This window comes from Homo sapiens, chromosome 1 (assembly GCF_000001405.40).
Source record: "Homo sapiens chromosome 1, GRCh38.p14 Primary Assembly".
In the NCBI taxonomy this organism is placed as follows: domain Eukaryota; kingdom Metazoa; phylum Chordata; class Mammalia; order Primates; family Hominidae; genus Homo; species Homo sapiens.
Window position 1 is genome coordinate 162746639 of NC_000001.11, and position 16572 is coordinate 162763210.

Below are 16572 nucleotides of genomic sequence, written 5' to 3' on the forward strand. Positions count from 1 at the left end.
GTTTGAGATCTGAGAATGGACAGCCTGCCTCATCAAGTGGGTCCCTGACCCCCGAGTAGCCTAACTGGGAGACACCTCCCAGTAGGGGCCTACAGACACCTCATACAGCTGGGTGCCCCTCTGAGATGAAGCTTCCAGAGGAAGGATCAGGCAGCAACATTTGCTGTTTTGCAATATTTGCTGTTTTGCAATATTTGCTGTTCTGCAGCCTGCACTGGTGATACCCAGGCAAACAGGGTCTGGAGTGGACCTCCAGCAAACTCCAACAGACCTGCAGATGAGGGTCCTGACTGTTAGAAGGAAAACTAACAAAGAGAAAGGAATAGCATCAACATCAACAAAAAGGACATCCACACCAAAGCCCCATCTGTAGGTCACCATCATCAAAGACTAAAGGTAGATAAAACCACAAAGATGGGGAGAAACCAGAGCAGAAAAGCTGAAAATTCTAAAAATCAGAGCACCTCTTCTCCTCCAAAGGAACACAGCTCCTCAAGAGCAATGGAACAAGGATGGACGGAGAATGACTTTGACAAGATGACAGAAGTAGGCTTAAAAATATCAGTAATAACAAACTTCTCCAAGGAAGTTTGGAGGATGTTCAAACCCATCGCAAAGAAGCTAAAAACCTTGAAAAAAGATTAGACGAATGGCTAACTAGAATAAACAGTGTAGAGAAGACCTTAAGTGACCTGGTGGAGCTGAAAACCATGGCACGAGAACTACGTGATGCATGCACAAGCTTCAGTAGCCAATTTGATCAAGTGGAAGTTCAAGTGAATGAAATGAAGCGAGAAGAGAAGTTTAGAGAAAAAAGAGTAAAAAAAAATGAACAAAGCCTCCAAGAAATATGAGACTGTGTGAAAAGATCAAATCTACATCTGACTGGTGTACCTGAAAGTGACGGGGAGAATGGAACCAAGTTGGAAAACACTCTTCAGGGTATTATCCAGGAGAACTTCCCCAACCTAGCAAGGCAGGCCAACATTCAAATTCAAGAAATACAGAGAACGCCACAAAGATACTCCTCGAGAAGAGCAACCCCAAGACACATAATTGTCAGATTCACCAAGGTTGAAATAAAGGAAAAAACGTTAAGGGTAGCCAGAGAGAAAGGTCAGGTTACCCACAAAGGGAAGCCCATCAGCCTAATAGCGGATCTCTCAGCAGAAACTTTACAAGCCAGAAGAGAGTAAAGGCCAATATTCAACGTTCTTAAAGAAAAGAATTTTTAACCCAGAATTTCATATCCAGCCAAACTAAGCTTCATAAGTGAAGGAGAAATAAAATCCTTTACAGACAAGCAAATGCTGAGAGATTTTGTCACCACCAGGCCTGCCCTACAAGAGCTCCTGAAGGAAGTGCTAAACATGGAAAGGAAAAACCAGTATCAGCCACTGCAAAAACATGCCAAATTGTAAACACCATCGATGCTAGGAAGAAACTGCATCAACTAATGAGCAAAATAACCAGCTAACATCATAATGACAGGATCAAATTCACATGTAACAATATTAACCTTAAATGTAAATGGGCTAAATGCTCCAATTAAAAGACACAGACTGGCAAGTTGGATAAAGAGTCAAGACCCATCAGTGTGCTGTATTCAGGAGACCCATCTCATGTGCAGAGACACACATAGGCTCAAAATAAAGGGATGGAGGAAGATCCACCAAGCAAATGGAAAACAAAAAAAGGCAGGGGTTGCAATCCTAGTCTCTGATAAAACAGACTTTAAACCAGCAAGGATCAAAAGAGACAAAGAAGGCCATTACATAATGGTAAAGGGATCAATTCAACAAGAAGAGCTAACTATCCTAAATATATATGCACCCAATACAGGAGCACCCAAATTCATAAAGCAAGTCCTTAAAGACCTAGAAACAAAGAGACTTAGACTCCCACAGAATCATAATGGGAGATTTTAACACCCCACTGTCAACATTAGACAGATCAACAAGACAGAAAGTTAACAAGGATATCCAGGACTTGAACTCAGCTCTGCACCAAGTGGACCTAATAGACATCTACAGAACTCTCCACTACAAATCAGCAGCATATACATTCTTCTCAGCACCACATCATACTTATTCCAAAATTGACCACATAGTTGGAAGTAAAGCACTCCTCAGCAAATGTAAAAGAACAGAAACTATAACAAACTCTGTCTCAGACCACAGTGCAATCAAATTAGAACTCAGGATTAAGAAACTCACTCAAAACTGCTCAACTACATGGAAACTGAACAACCTGCTCCTGAATGACTACTGGGTACATAATGAAATGAAGGCAGAAATAAAGATGTTCTTTGAAACCAATGAGAACAAAGACACAACATACCAGAATCTCTGGGACACATTCAAAGCAGTGCATAGAGGGAAATTTATAGCACTAAATGCCCACAAGAGAAAGCAGAAAAGATCTAAAATTGACACTCTAACATCACAATTAAAAGAACTAGAGAAGCAAGAGCAAACACATTCAAAAGCTAGCAGAAGGCAAGAAATAACTAAGATCAGAGCAGAACTGAAGGAGATAGAGACACAAAAAACCCTTCAAAAAATCAATGAATCCAGGAGCTGGTTTTTTGAAAAGATCAACAAAATTGATAGACCGCTAGCAAGACTAACAAAGAAGAAAGGAGAGAAGAATCAAATAGATACAATAAAAAATGATAAAGGAGTTATCACCACTGATCCCACAGAATTACAAACTATCATCAGAGAATACTATAAACACCTCTATGCAAATAAACTAGAAAATCTAGAAGAAATGGATAAATTCCTGGACATATACACCCTCCCAAGACTAAACCAGGAAGAAGTCGAATCCCTGAATAGACCAATAACAGGCTCTGAAATTGCGGCAATAATTAATAGCCTACCAACCAAAAAAAGTCCAGGACCAGATGGATGCACAGCTGAATTCTACCAGAGGTACAAAGAATAGCTGGTACCATTCCTTCTGAAACTATTCCAGTCAATAGAAATACAGGGAATCCTCCCTAACTCATTTTATAAGGCCAGCATCATCCTGAAACCAAAGACTAGCAGAGACACAACAACAACAAAAAAGAGAATTTTAGACCAATATCCCTGATGAACATTCATGCAAAAATCCTAAATAAAATACTGGCAAACTGAATCCAGCAGACAACAAAAAGCTTATCCACCACAATCAAGTTGGCTTCATCCCTGGGATGCAAGGCTGCTTCAACATATGCAAATCAATAAACCTAATCCGTCATATAAACAGAACCAAAGACAAAAACCACATGATTATCTCAATAGATGCAGAAAAGGCCTTCAACAAAATTCAACAGCCCTTCATGCTAAAAGCTCTCAGTAAACTAGGTATTGATGGTAAGAGCTATTTATGACAAACGCACAGCCAATATCATACTGAATGGGCAAAAACTGGAAGCATTCCCTTTGAAAACTGGCACAAGACAGGGATGCCCTCTCTCACCACTCCTATTCAACATAGTTTGGATGTTCTGGCCAGGGCAATCAGGCAGGAGAAAGAAATAAAGGGTATTTAATTAGGAAAAGAGGAAGTCAAATTGTCCCTGTTTGCAGATGACATGATTGTATATTTAGAAAACCCCATCATCTCAGCCCCAAATCTCCTTAAGCTGATCAGCAACTTCAGCAAAGTCTCAGGATACAAAATCAATGTGCAAAAAATCACAAGCATTCCTATACACCAATAAGAGACAAACAGAGAGCCAAATCATGAGTGAACTCCCATTCACAATTGCTTCAAAGAGAATAAAATACCTAGGAATCCAACTTACAAGGGATGTGAAGGACCTCTTCAAGGAGAACTACAAACCACTGCTCAACAAAGTAAAAGAGGACACAAACAAATGGAAGAACATTCCATGCTCGTGGGTAGGAAGAATCAATATCGTGGAAATGGCCATACTGCCCAAGGTAATTTATAGATTCAATGCCATCCCCCATCAAGCTACCAATGACTTTCTTCACAGAATTGGAAAAAACTACTTTAAAGTTCATATGGAACCAAAAAAGAGCCCGCATTGCCAAGACAATCCTAAGCCAAAAGAACAAAGCTGGAGGCATCACACTACTTGACTTCAAACTATACTACAAGGCTACAGTAACCAAAACAGCATGGTACTGGTACCAAAACAGAGATATAGACCAATGGAACAGAACACAGCCCTCAGAAATAATACCACACATCTACAACCATCTGATCTTTGACAAACCTGACAAAAACAAGCAATGGGGAAAGGATTCCCTATTTAATAAATGGTGCTGGGAAAACTGGCTAGCCATACGTAGAAAGCTGAAATTCGATCCCTTCCTTACACCTTATACAAAAATTAATTCAAGATGGATCAAAGACTTAAATGTTAGACCCAAAACCATAAAAACCCTAGAAGAAAACCTAGGCAATACCATTAAGGACATAGGCATGGGCAAGGACTTCATGACTAAAACACCAAAAACAATGGCAACAAAAGCCAAAATTGACAAATGGGATCTAATTAAACTAAAGAGCTTCTGCACAGCAAAAGAAACTACCATCAGAGTGAACAGGCAACCTACAGAATAGGAGAAAATTTTTGCAATGTACCCATCTGACAAAGGGCTAATATCCAGAGTGTACAAAGAACTTAAACATTTATAAGAAAAAAAATCAAACAACCCCATCAAAAAATGGGCAAAGAATATGAATAGAAATGTCTCAAAAGAAGATATTTATGCAGCCAACAGATACATGAAAAAATGCTCATCACCACTGGTCATCAGAGAAATGCAAATCAAAACCACAATGAGATACCATCTCACACCAGTTAGAATGGCAATCATTAAAAAGTCAGGAAACAACAGGTGCTGGAGAGGATGTGGAGAAATAGGAATGCTTTTACGCTGTTGGTGGGAGTGTAAACTAGTTAAACCATTGTGGAAGACAGTGTGGCGATTCCTCAAAGATCTAGAAGTAGAAATACCATTTGACCCAGCAATCCCATTACTGGGTATACACCCAAAGGATTATAAATCATGCTGCTATAAAGACACATGCACATGTATGTTTATTGTGGCGCTATTCACAATAGCAAAGACTTGGAATCAACCCAAATGTCCATCAATGATAGACTGGATTAAGAAAATGTGGCACATATACACCATGGAATACTATGCAGCCATAAAAAAGGATGAGTTCTTGTCCTTTGTAGGGACATGGATAAAGATAGAAACCATCATTTGAGCAAACTATCGCAAGGACTGAAGGCCAAGCACCGCATGTTCTCACTCATGAGTGGGAATTGAACAGTGAGAACACCTGGACACAGGGCGGAGAACATCACACACTGGGGCCTGTCGTGGGGTGAGGGGACGGGGGAGGAATGGCATTAAGAGAAATACCTATTGTAAATGACGAGTTAATGGGTGCAGCACACCAACATGGCACATGTATATATGTGACAAACCTGCACATTGTGCACATGTACCCTACAACTTAAAGTATAATAAAAAAAAAAGAGAAAAGAAAAAAAAAAACTTTTGTTGCTTATCCGAAATTTAAATTTAACTAGGTATACTCTATTTTATCTGGCAATCAGGTGTCCTGAGACTCTAGCTTCCTTTACTTCTCTGGACTCCCATTTTTGTCTCCTCAACTCAGGAAATTCTCCAGGCTCTGCCTGAGTTCCCACTCATTGTGTTGTATCCTGGACACACTCTCATGCCAGTAAGCTGATGCCACCGTAGGGGTCAACTTTTTTGTTTCCTGACTCTCAGATTGTTGTCCTTCGTTGTCAGATGCTCATTATCTTAAAACATAATTTTTCATATATTTTGTCCTTTTTGGTTGTTTCACACTGGAGAGCAAATCTGGTCTCTGTTACTCCGTCTTTGGTTGAAAGTGGAAGTCTGTATCCAGAAGTTATTGTTTATAGCCAGGAGCCAGAACATGGTTCTAACCAGGGCCAAAAATGTGTGTTTGATCCCTTCATAGGTGAGTGTGTAGTTTCTTTATAGTTTTTATGCAATTAACTACTGAAAAAAATAATTCTTTGGGTCATAAAGGCGCCTGGTGATTATGAGGGTTCCTCACTACTGTCAGGAAATTGATTAGAAGTAAACATCTTCTAATAAGAGAATGGGATGGGCCACTGGGGTTATTACCAAGTACAAAGCATAAATTGGCACATTACATTGTATTACATTGATTGTCAGAGTTTGAACCAAAATATAGATTTGGCTGGGGGTCAAATCTCGGAGGCCCAAATTGTATTTGGAGTCAGGGCCAGGAAGACAAGTCTGATAGAGTCAGGGTGATCAAACTGGGGCCATAGAGGAATTTAGGAAGATGTAAATTCTCTTATTCCTTGTTCAATATTCAGTGATATTCTTCCTAGGGGGCTTGGAAATAAAAATAAAACCATGTCCTCTCTTTTCTCTTTGGTTTCTCTTGGTCTAGCTATATGCCGCTATCCTCTGGGCATGTCAGGAGGCCAGATTCCAGATGAGGACATCACAGCTTCCAGTCAGTGGTCAGAGTCCACAGCTGCCAAATATGGAAGGTGAGGATGGTTACATCAAGAAAGCCCATGTTCTGGGGTTGGGCAGATTTCCTGGGCACAGATTCCTGACCCTAGGGGCTGGGGAAGGTGGTGTTATTGGCAGGAACTGTTGAGAAATGAAGGACAGACAGCAAGTGGGCCTGTCCTGCTCTGTATGTTTTCAGGGAGAGAATTTAGGACTTAGCCACATGTACTGGTCTGGCAGCCCCATCTCAACCACAGAGGCCCCAGGGCCACATTACCCACAGTGAATGGGTTCATTGATAGGAAGTGGATTTGCTTTCCCTGACTTTCTCATTGTGAGCTGCTGCAGGAGGCAGGCAACAGTGGCACCTATGGGAAGGTGCAGATTATGTAGGACACTGGGAGTTAGCATCCACTCCTCTTCTCAGTGGGTCTATGAAACATCACTCACTGCAAAGCATCACTCACTGCCAAGCATCAAGACACTGAGGCCTCCAACAAGTTCTCCACCTCTCTCAAGGATCTCTTACACAGAAGGGCCATCCTTGCCAACAGACAGAGTGTGGCAGTTTCCTGGGGCGATTGATTTCAGGGGTCTTGTACATCAATAAACTCCCTACTGCTCTACTGGTTGGACCCAATACTCTACCTGGAATCTTATTATTTTGTGAAGTATTGATTTTATTAAAATGGAATTACCCATAAGAAAATGAATCCTGATGAACCTTTCCCCTTAATTTCTTAGTGTATGAAAGACTAGAGTGATGGTAGGTGGAATTGGAAGGGAGCAACAAATGAATGGGTAATATCTGTGAGAAAAGGGAGCAATCCAAGGGAGAGGAAAAGTGGTAGGGAGTTCTCAAAGTAAACTTTATAATAATTTCACAATTTTGCTCAGTGGTAGCTCAGCCTGAAGGTAATAAAATGAAACCAGATTATTTACTACTTCCTTGACATGCTCTTCCCCCTCATCCTCCCCATGTGTTTCTATGGCTCCTTGCTGGTCTGCAATGCCCATCCTGCTGCATTGCATAACCCACACTGGAGACCCTACTATCCCTCCTCCCTATTGCCATAACTTGATGTCCAAGCAAAGGGTGGCTAGCTTTGTTAGGCTGAGTTTGAAAGAGGGAAGGGAAATATGAAATGACTCATGCGGGAACAGAGAGTAGGAAGAGTTTTATTTCTCTTTATGCTTCTAAATCAGGATGGGAAGTGAAGGCTATGTGTGATCTGAAGGCCTCAGCTCACTGTCTTTCAGGGTCTCATGGTACTCCAGGGAAAGGGATCTGACCACAAATGGGTACTGTGGTGGCAGTGAAAACTGTGGCAAGAACCCAAAATGTTTATAAGGACAGCCTGCTCTCTCCCCTCAGTACAGGGCAGCTGCTTGCCTGTGAACCAGTAAACAGCTCTGTGGTTTCATGGTTGCTCCCTCTCTCCCCAACCCTCACCTCTCAAGGCTGGACTCAGAAGAAGGGGATGGAGCCTGGTGCCCTGAGATTCCAGTGGAACCTGATGACCTGAAGGAGTTTCTGCAGATTGACTTGCACACCCTCCATTTTATCACTCTGGTGGGGACCCAGGGGCGCCATGCAGGAGGTCATGGCATCGAGTTTGCCCCCATGTACAAGATCAATTACAGTCGGGATGGCACTCGCTGGATCTCTTGGCGGAACCGTCATGGGAAACAGGTAGGAAGAAGAGACATCCAGATCCTGGATGTCCAAGACCATATTTTGACTTAGGCTAGGAGAAGAAGGGTACAGGTTTTCTGTGTGGATATGTGTGTCCACAGACCAGGCATGCCCTTGTAAATGTGTGACCCAGGGTGAGGGAGGCAGGGAAGGAATATCAAGGCTGTGGGGAAAGCAGAGTAGATGCATTCTGCTCCTCGAATTAAGAAGAGAGAGTCCATCAAAAACGTGGTGGGGTGAAGAAAAGTGAGCATGATTTAATACCACCTCTTCACTCATTCTCTTCTCTCTCCTCAGGTGCTGGATGGAAATAGTAACCCCTATGACATTTTCCTAAAGGACTTGGAGCCGCCCATTGTAGCCAGATTTGTCCGGTTCATTCCAGTCACCGACCACTCCATGAATGTGTGTATGAGAGTGGAGCTTTACGGCTGTGTCTGGCTAGGTAGGTCACTAGCCCAGGAAGCCTATAGACTTTATTAAAAACTCCAACTTCTGGGAAATGAAGGCAATCAAATCAGAAAGGGATGGGATCAGTTACTCCTGGAATGGTGATGCCCTCTTGGGAAGAATAGAGACAGAAGCATTGCTCATTAACCCAGGGCTTAGGGCCCCACACTGAGTCATGCATTCAGAGTCATTACGTTGACTGCCATGGAGGGGCACTCCTCCAAAGTCTTCCCTCGGTGTCCAGATGGAGTCCTGCTGGACACGCTGTGCAAGCTTATACCCTTGAAACTCACATAGTTCCCTGAGGTAATGGGCCTGAGCAGTAGGCACTCACTTGGCTGTGTTTCCTTTGCAGATGGCTTGGTGTCTTACAATGCTCCAGCTGGGCAGCAGTTTGTACTCCCTGGAGGTTCCATCATTTATCTGAATGATTCTGTCTATGATGGAGCTGTTGGATACAGGTAAATCCTGGGAAACTTTATTAGAATGGGAAATTGGCCACTAAGAAAGAATAATATTTTATCATGTCTTGGGATCAATAATCAATCAACCAATCAGTATTTATTTAGTTCTTGTACAAGGCATTTGGAAATAATTTAGATGAAGGAATACACATGACCTTTATTTCCAGGGAACTTAAAGCCCGGTTTGGGAAGACAAGTTAATTACCCAGAAAACAATCAATTACACAAAGTAATGGCTAAAGTTTGTGATATGGCTCTAAGTATAATAGCCATATTTTTGACCCTCAAAACAGGACATGTAGTCTGACACAAATATTGACCTACTTATGGAAACAAAGGGCCAGAGAATTGAAGTAATAAGTATAATACTCTGGGCAAGTCAAGAAGTCAGAAAGAATAGACCTTATACATATAAATGCTTTGAAATTTGTAAAAAGGGGACTAGTAAGACTTACAATAGACAAGGAAAGTTCTAGGTTAAGATGAGAATTGTAGCAGAGGAAGGTAGGTAGAAGGTAGCAGAAGAAAGGAAGCAGGGCTGAAGGCAAGACTGACCTGGCTATAGTAGAAGCTGGAGTTGAGAAGAACAGAATGGAACAATGGATAAGCCTGAAGTGGATCAAAGGAGTGCCATGGCAAAGAAGTGTGACCAGATATAGTAGGAACTTAGGGTTGGGTACAGGATGCTCCCACCTATACTGTTTCACTTCAAGCCTTTAAGCCTTGCCATTCTTCTAGCCCACACTAACACTTTTCTCTCTAAGCTTGGTCTGCATCTGCAAAGTGAGCCTGGGAGAGAATTCAGTCCATCGTGAAGACCAGACCAGATGATGGAGGTTGACAGGGCTCGAGAGAAGGAGATACTAGTGAGTCTCAGGAAGGGAGTGTGGAATTACAGCCTTCTACTGGCTTAGGTGTGGAGAATGAACTATTGCCCTCTAGCTGCCATCCCCTGGGTGAAGACCTGATTCATCCACTCTTCTACTCCTAGTCACTTCCTTTCCATCTTCTTAATCACTGTTCTTTCCTTTTTGCTTAAACGGTCTTGGCATAATTTCGCTCAGTCACACCCCAACAGGCATGTATTCAAGGCACAGAGGAAATCAGAGATCAACCGAATTCAGTTTAATTTAATAAGCCTTTGTTAATCAACTGTTACTATATACAAGGAATTTGGCCAGGCATGTTAGGTATTCAAAGGTAATGGAGTCATTGATCCTACCTTTAAAGTGCTCACAATTTGGAGTAGGGGCTAAAACAGAATATAAGTTACTATGATTCAAGTATATGAGCAAGAGATAGCCTATGACTGCTCTGGGGTTCAAAGGAAAAAGTAAACTATAGTAGGAAAGCACAAAAATGGGGATGAAAACATCTGGATTTCATATAATAAAAGTTACTTCTGTTTGCTACAAGGCTTAAGGGATTAAAATGTGTGTGAAAAGCATTTCGTAAGATAAATTGCTATGCACATATAAGTTGTTATCTGATTATCATTTTTCTGACTGAAGGACCAGTAAAGATATGGTAGAACAGATGAAATCTGAACTGGGTCCCAAAGAATGGGTAGTACTTTCACAGGTGCAGAATCTTGAAATGGAATTTTAGGCAGAGGGAATAATAGCATGAGGAAAAAAGAATCATGGTTATAAAGTTTAGGGGACTGTCTGGGAGAAATCAACAGTTTATTTAACCACGGGCCATATTTATGTGGCAAAGTAGTGCAGGAGAAGCAAAACAAAGCAGATTATGCCATATTTTGAAGGAACCTGAAGTCAAAGCCAAAAGGAGCAAGAAGTGGAGGAGGAGGAAGAGGAGAAATTGCTGTTCTTATTCTTCATAAACATTATCATTAATGTAATGAGTCATTGAAGATTTTTAAAGCTGAGGAAGGACATGATTGGAGCTGTGCTTTAGACAGATTAATCAAGCAGCATGCAAAGGTTAGATTGGAATGGAATGAGGAGGCTATGAGGAACATTTTAAAACTCTTAGTTCTGCCAAGTAAAAAGAATTAATGACCAAGGCCATAACCGTGACTGTGGGGAATGAGGAAAAGATATTCATTTAGGATGTTTGAAATCTGATTGGATGTATGAGGCAAAACAGTAGGGTGAGAAAAAGGGTCAGATGAAGTTTGACAGTCTAAGTGACTGAAACAATGGGGATGACATTTATTTATTCGACAAATATATTTTGAGTGCTTACCTTGCGCCAAGCATTTTCCATTACTATGAAGAGAAGTATAATTTATGGAAAAGGGAAACCAAGGAGAAAGACTTAGTTCAGTAGGGGATGATGATGGATTTAGTTTGGAGTGTAGGTCTGTGAGACTGAGAAGACATTCAGTAGAGAAATAAGGAAGGTAGCCGGAATTATGGCTCTTAACTCCAGGGGAAAGATAAAAAAAATTACAAAAATGTAGACATCATTGGCTTTCATTTAATAATTGAAGTAATGAAATATCTGGTGGAGGTGGCTGAGTGAAGAGATCCTCTCAGCCACTGAGAGATGACATCAGAGTCTCAGGAAATAGTCATATTAGCAAAAGTTACTTTTTAAATTTAAAACAATTTCAAGAATAATATATGCTTACTGGTGATTTTAATAACTCTAAAGTATATAAATATTGAACATTTATTTTCTTATCCCTTCTTCACTTGATTTAATTTTGACCAAGGGGGAACTGAACAGGCATTCCTTTTAATTTCTGTTGCTTTTCATAAAACTTTCCTGGGATTTATTTTTCTGAGGATAATGGGAAATATATTTATTGCAAGTAAACTTACGTTCTCCTAGCTTTCTGATCTGTAGAGAGAAGAAAAAGATGGCAAAACCTTGGAAGGGAGATCCAGGCTCTGGTCACTGTGGATAAGGCCAGTCAAATTTTATAATTTACCAAACATTTTCAATGATTAAATATATTTTAAAAGGCTGGCATAATCACCCTTAGTATTTTTTTATTTTTTGCGATTCACAAATTTTACATATTATTGATCTAGCTCTAAACCTCAAGGGTCACACCAATTATTGCTTGAGGGTGAGTATCCCAATCTCGTCATTTGGGAAATTTGTGTCATATCTGCCAGAGCTTGAGATGCAGAGCTTGAGGAAAGAGAAGTTCCACATGATGGTTTTTGCTCTGTCCCTCCATAAAAAGAAGGAAGGAGCCTCTTCGTGTTCTCTAAGTAGTCAAATAAGCATACATGCAGTTATATTCCATCCAGCAGTCAGGCTTCTGGAAAACTCAGCCTTTAAAACAGAGCCTCTTACTCAGAAGTCAAAAAAGCCTGCTAAGCTAGAACACAAAACTAAATCCAATACCTGGGATTCTCATGAAATCCTTGCATCTTACTTCCTGGGTCTAGTATCCTACAAATTTAATTAGAATTAAATAGAAATTATTATTTAAATTTAGAGCTTGTATTTTCCCCCTTAGTTTAATATCAAACTGGGTTGTTGGATATGTGGAATAGAAGAGAGTGTGACTGGATTCTCTGAAATTGATTCACTGAACAATGACAATATGTAGTTAAAGGAGAGTCAGCACCAAGCTCTGGAAACATTTATATGATAGTGGGGCAAGTGCTACTATGTATGGTAGCATTCATTCTATGCATTTATCCATTTCCTCATTTACTCTATGAATTAGTTCATCAAATGCATTTGATAATATTAAGTCATTATGTGAAGACATATTCAGTATATAAGAATAGGCAAGGTGCAATAAATTATAGAAAGCTTTTCATATTAAATAAGACATTGTTTAAAAGTTTTACTACTAAAGGAGTAAGCATCAAATATTTTATAAAAATTACTAATATGAAATTCTTAGTTCTCCATTGATGCAAGATAAACGAGTCAATACTATAATGCAAATCTGATTATTTACAATCCTTCAATTCCAAGATAATAAGCTCATACAAAATCTGGAGTGAAGATGCCGGGTAAAAGCTCTTCCACGAATGTGTGGTTAACTCAGATTTCTCTCTCCTTTTCCTCCTCTTCTCCTGGCCTGAGCAGCATGACAGAAGGGCTAGGCCAATTGACCGATGGTGTGTCTGGCCTGGACGATTTCACCCAGACCCATGAATACCACGTGTGGCCCGGCTATGACTATGTGGGCTGGCGGAACGAGAGTGCCACCAATGGCTACATTGAGATCATGTTTGAATTTGACCGCATCAGGAATTTCACTACCATGAAGGTCAGTGGGGTCGGGTGTGGTGGAACTTCTTTAAGGAGGCACAAATCATAGTGTGGTAGAGAAAAGGCATGCTAGAAAAAAGTCTAGGCTGATGCCAGTTCAATGACATATTCTGTTACTAACTAGCTAAATGCATTTCACAAGTCACTTCATCTCTAAGGGCGTGATTCTCCATTTGTGTGTAAGGGAGTTAGAATAGGTCAGTGAGCTCTCTTTTTTTTGTTGTTTTGACACTAAAGGTGACATATCCATTAAGCCAATAACACAGTGTCCAGGGCCCACAGATTTTTAAGACGCATAAAAATGCTCTAATTTCTTTTAATATCAGGTGAAAAAAATAAATTTTTAGGGTCAAAGATTATCTTTTTACCAGCACAGTTGTGTGTGTGTGTGTGTGTGTGTATACACACACAACTATATATATATACACAATGATATATATATATACACAACTACATATATATAACCATATATACATATACAACTATATATATACATATACAACTATATATGTATATACATATACAACTATATATATGTATATACATATACAACTAGATATATGTATATACATATACAACTAGATATATGTATATACATATACAACTAGATATATGTATATACATATACAACTAGATATATATATGTAGTTGGTGTTCTGCAGTCTTCTGAATTTTTCCTTCTAGGAACCTCACAGTGGCAGTGATAGTTGGTCAGGCCTTATAAAACCTGGGCTGCAACCCTGGTTACCTGTATGCACTGTCTGCCCTTGGCCACCTCACTTCATGTTGCTGGACTGCAGTTTTCTCATCTGTTAAATGAGGACTGCACCAGCATCTTCTCAGCCCTTCCTTGCCTTGAACTCTCTCGAGTCTATAATCCTCTCAGCCGCAGTTGCCGTCTACCCTGATTCGTGTGTGTATCTATACACATAGATACATACACACATATGTGAGAATATGTGTATTCTCATTTAGAAATGAGATTTCTAAAAAAAAAAATGAAATTGTTTTAGATTGTACACTATTTTGGGTTTCTCACCTAGCCCTGTGAAAAGAAGAAGACTGGCTCTGAAATGTACCTAGGAGGAAGCAGGATGGCAGTCTTCCTCTTACCTCAGTTCAGAATAGCTCGAATCAGGGTAGACGGCAACTACTGAGTTGGCTGGCACTGTGTCTCCATGCACCTTAGCAGGGCCAACCTATCACTCACATGCCTCTTTCTCTACCAGGTCCACTGCAACAACATGTTTGCTAAAGGTGTGAAGATCTTTAAGGAGGTACAGTGCTACTTCCGCTCTGAAGCCAGTGAGTGGGAACCTAATGCCATTTCCTTCCCCCTTGTCCTGGATGACGTCAACCCCAGTGCTCGGTTTGTCACGGTGCCTCTCCACCACCGAATGGCCAGTGCCATCAAGTGTCAATACCATTTTGCAGATACCTGGATGATGTTCAGTGAGATCACCTTCCAATCAGGTAGGGAGCTCAGGTCCTCTTTGGGAAGTGGGAGCAAGGTGATGAAGGAGGAATGCACATGCCCAGAACTTCTCATTAGCAGGTCTCTGAGAGGAGTGGGATTGTACAGGCAGCTTCTCATTGACGGATACGGTGAATCCTTTGTGTGACTAGTTTTAACTGTGGAGGGGATGGGATGAGAATGGAAGTGAACAAAATATGCACGTAACTCTTCTTAGAAAGAATGTTTTTAAATGAGAGTACAGTGTGTTAAAAATTTTATATAATTTAAGGTAGTTAACGAGTGCGCTGTTAAGGAAAAGCACACCTAAGCATTACTGAGATATTTAAATGAAAATTTCTAAATATACACAAAAGTAAAGAGAACAATAAACCACTCATCACTCAGCTTTACTAATCATTGATATTTTGCCATATTTGTTTCACCCATTCCTTCCTTTTGGCTGTAGCATTTTAAAGCAAATATGAGATACTACTTGATTTCATTAGCAAATAATTGGACTGCATCTAAGAAAATAGCATCATTTTCATAGGTATAATGCCATGATAACATCTAACAACCTTTATTATTAAATAATTTCTTAATACCACCCAATATCCTGTCCATATTCAAGTATGACTAACTGTCCATCAATGTCTTAATTCAGTTGACTTTATCAAATAAGGATCAAAATAAGGATCTGTTGGTGAGTTTCTTTATTCTATTTGCTCTGTGTCTCTTTTAATCTAAAAAATTCCTTCCATTTTTATTTCTTTTTAAATGGATTCTGGCTTGGCTGATGGCTTTCTGTGGTGTCATTTTACTTGAGCTTCTGTTCTCTGTCATTCCTAATGACTGGTGCTTACATCTACAGGTTAATTTGATTCCAGTTCAATATTTATTTTTGTCAAGAATTCTTTATAAGCATTCTATATATCTCAGTAATGCTGTATATTTTATGCTGAACTTCATCATGGGGATGTAATGCTAGATCCTCTCACTTTTTGTGATACTAAGATTGATTTCTGGTTCCTCATGAACTTTTTCCCTAAGTTTTATCCTCCATCAATAACCACTGTCTGAATTATTTATTTCACTAGGGTTGCTAAATGACGATTTTCTAATTCTTTTATTTTTTCTGCATTTCTTAGCTGAATTTCTTCCGAATAGAGTAACTATTCTTCATCATGCACCAGTTTACTCAGAAATCACATTGAAAGAGCAGCATACGTGACTTATCTTCCCCTTTAATTGTTAATTTTCAGAGTAATGACTTGATACCGTAGCAACCCTCAATAATGTCTAATTAATTTTGGTTTTTACCCTTATTTTTTTGGTATCATTATAAACTCATTGCTTTTTATCAATTTAATGCTTAATCGATTGCAGTTATTATTATTAGTAGTAGTATGTTTATTTTTAGACAGAGTCTCGCTCTGTCACCCAGGCTGGAATGCAGTGGTGTGATCTTGGCTCACTGCAACCCCCGCCTCCCGGGATCGAGTGATTCTTCTGCCTCAGCCTCCCAAGTAGCTGGGATTACAGGTGCCTGCCACTGCGCCTGGCTAGTTTTTCTATGTTTAGTAGAGATAGGGTTTCGCCATGTTGGCCAGGCTGGTCTCGAACTCCTGACCTCAAGTGATCCGCCTGCCTTGGCCTCCCAAAGTGCTGGGATTACAGGCATGAGCCACCGTGTCTGGCCATTATTCTTTTTAATACTCAAGTTGTGCTGTCTTTGACTAGAGTTTGCATTTTTTTTTTTTTGAGACGGTATCT

At 40.2% G+C, this 16572-nt stretch overlaps 1 protein-coding gene across 8 annotated transcripts in view; it reads left to right on the forward strand.

Annotated features, from left to right (window-relative positions):
- Nucleotides 1-16572, forward strand: part of DDR2 (discoidin domain receptor tyrosine kinase 2) — a 156543-nt gene that overhangs the window by 115776 nt on the left and 24195 nt on the right. For all 8 annotated transcript variants that reach the window (NM_001354983.2, XM_047421554.1, XM_011509587.3 and 5 more), the window contains 6 exons: nucleotides 6457-6559; nucleotides 7986-8217; nucleotides 8518-8665; nucleotides 9026-9131; nucleotides 13158-13341; nucleotides 14573-14816. In NM_001354983.2, coding sequence (NP_001341912.1) covers nucleotides 6457-6559; nucleotides 7986-8217; nucleotides 8518-8665; nucleotides 9026-9131; nucleotides 13158-13341; nucleotides 14573-14816 — 1017 coding nt within the window. The remainder of the gene's footprint in view (nucleotides 1-6456; nucleotides 6560-7985; nucleotides 8218-8517; nucleotides 8666-9025; nucleotides 9132-13157; nucleotides 13342-14572; nucleotides 14817-16572) is intronic.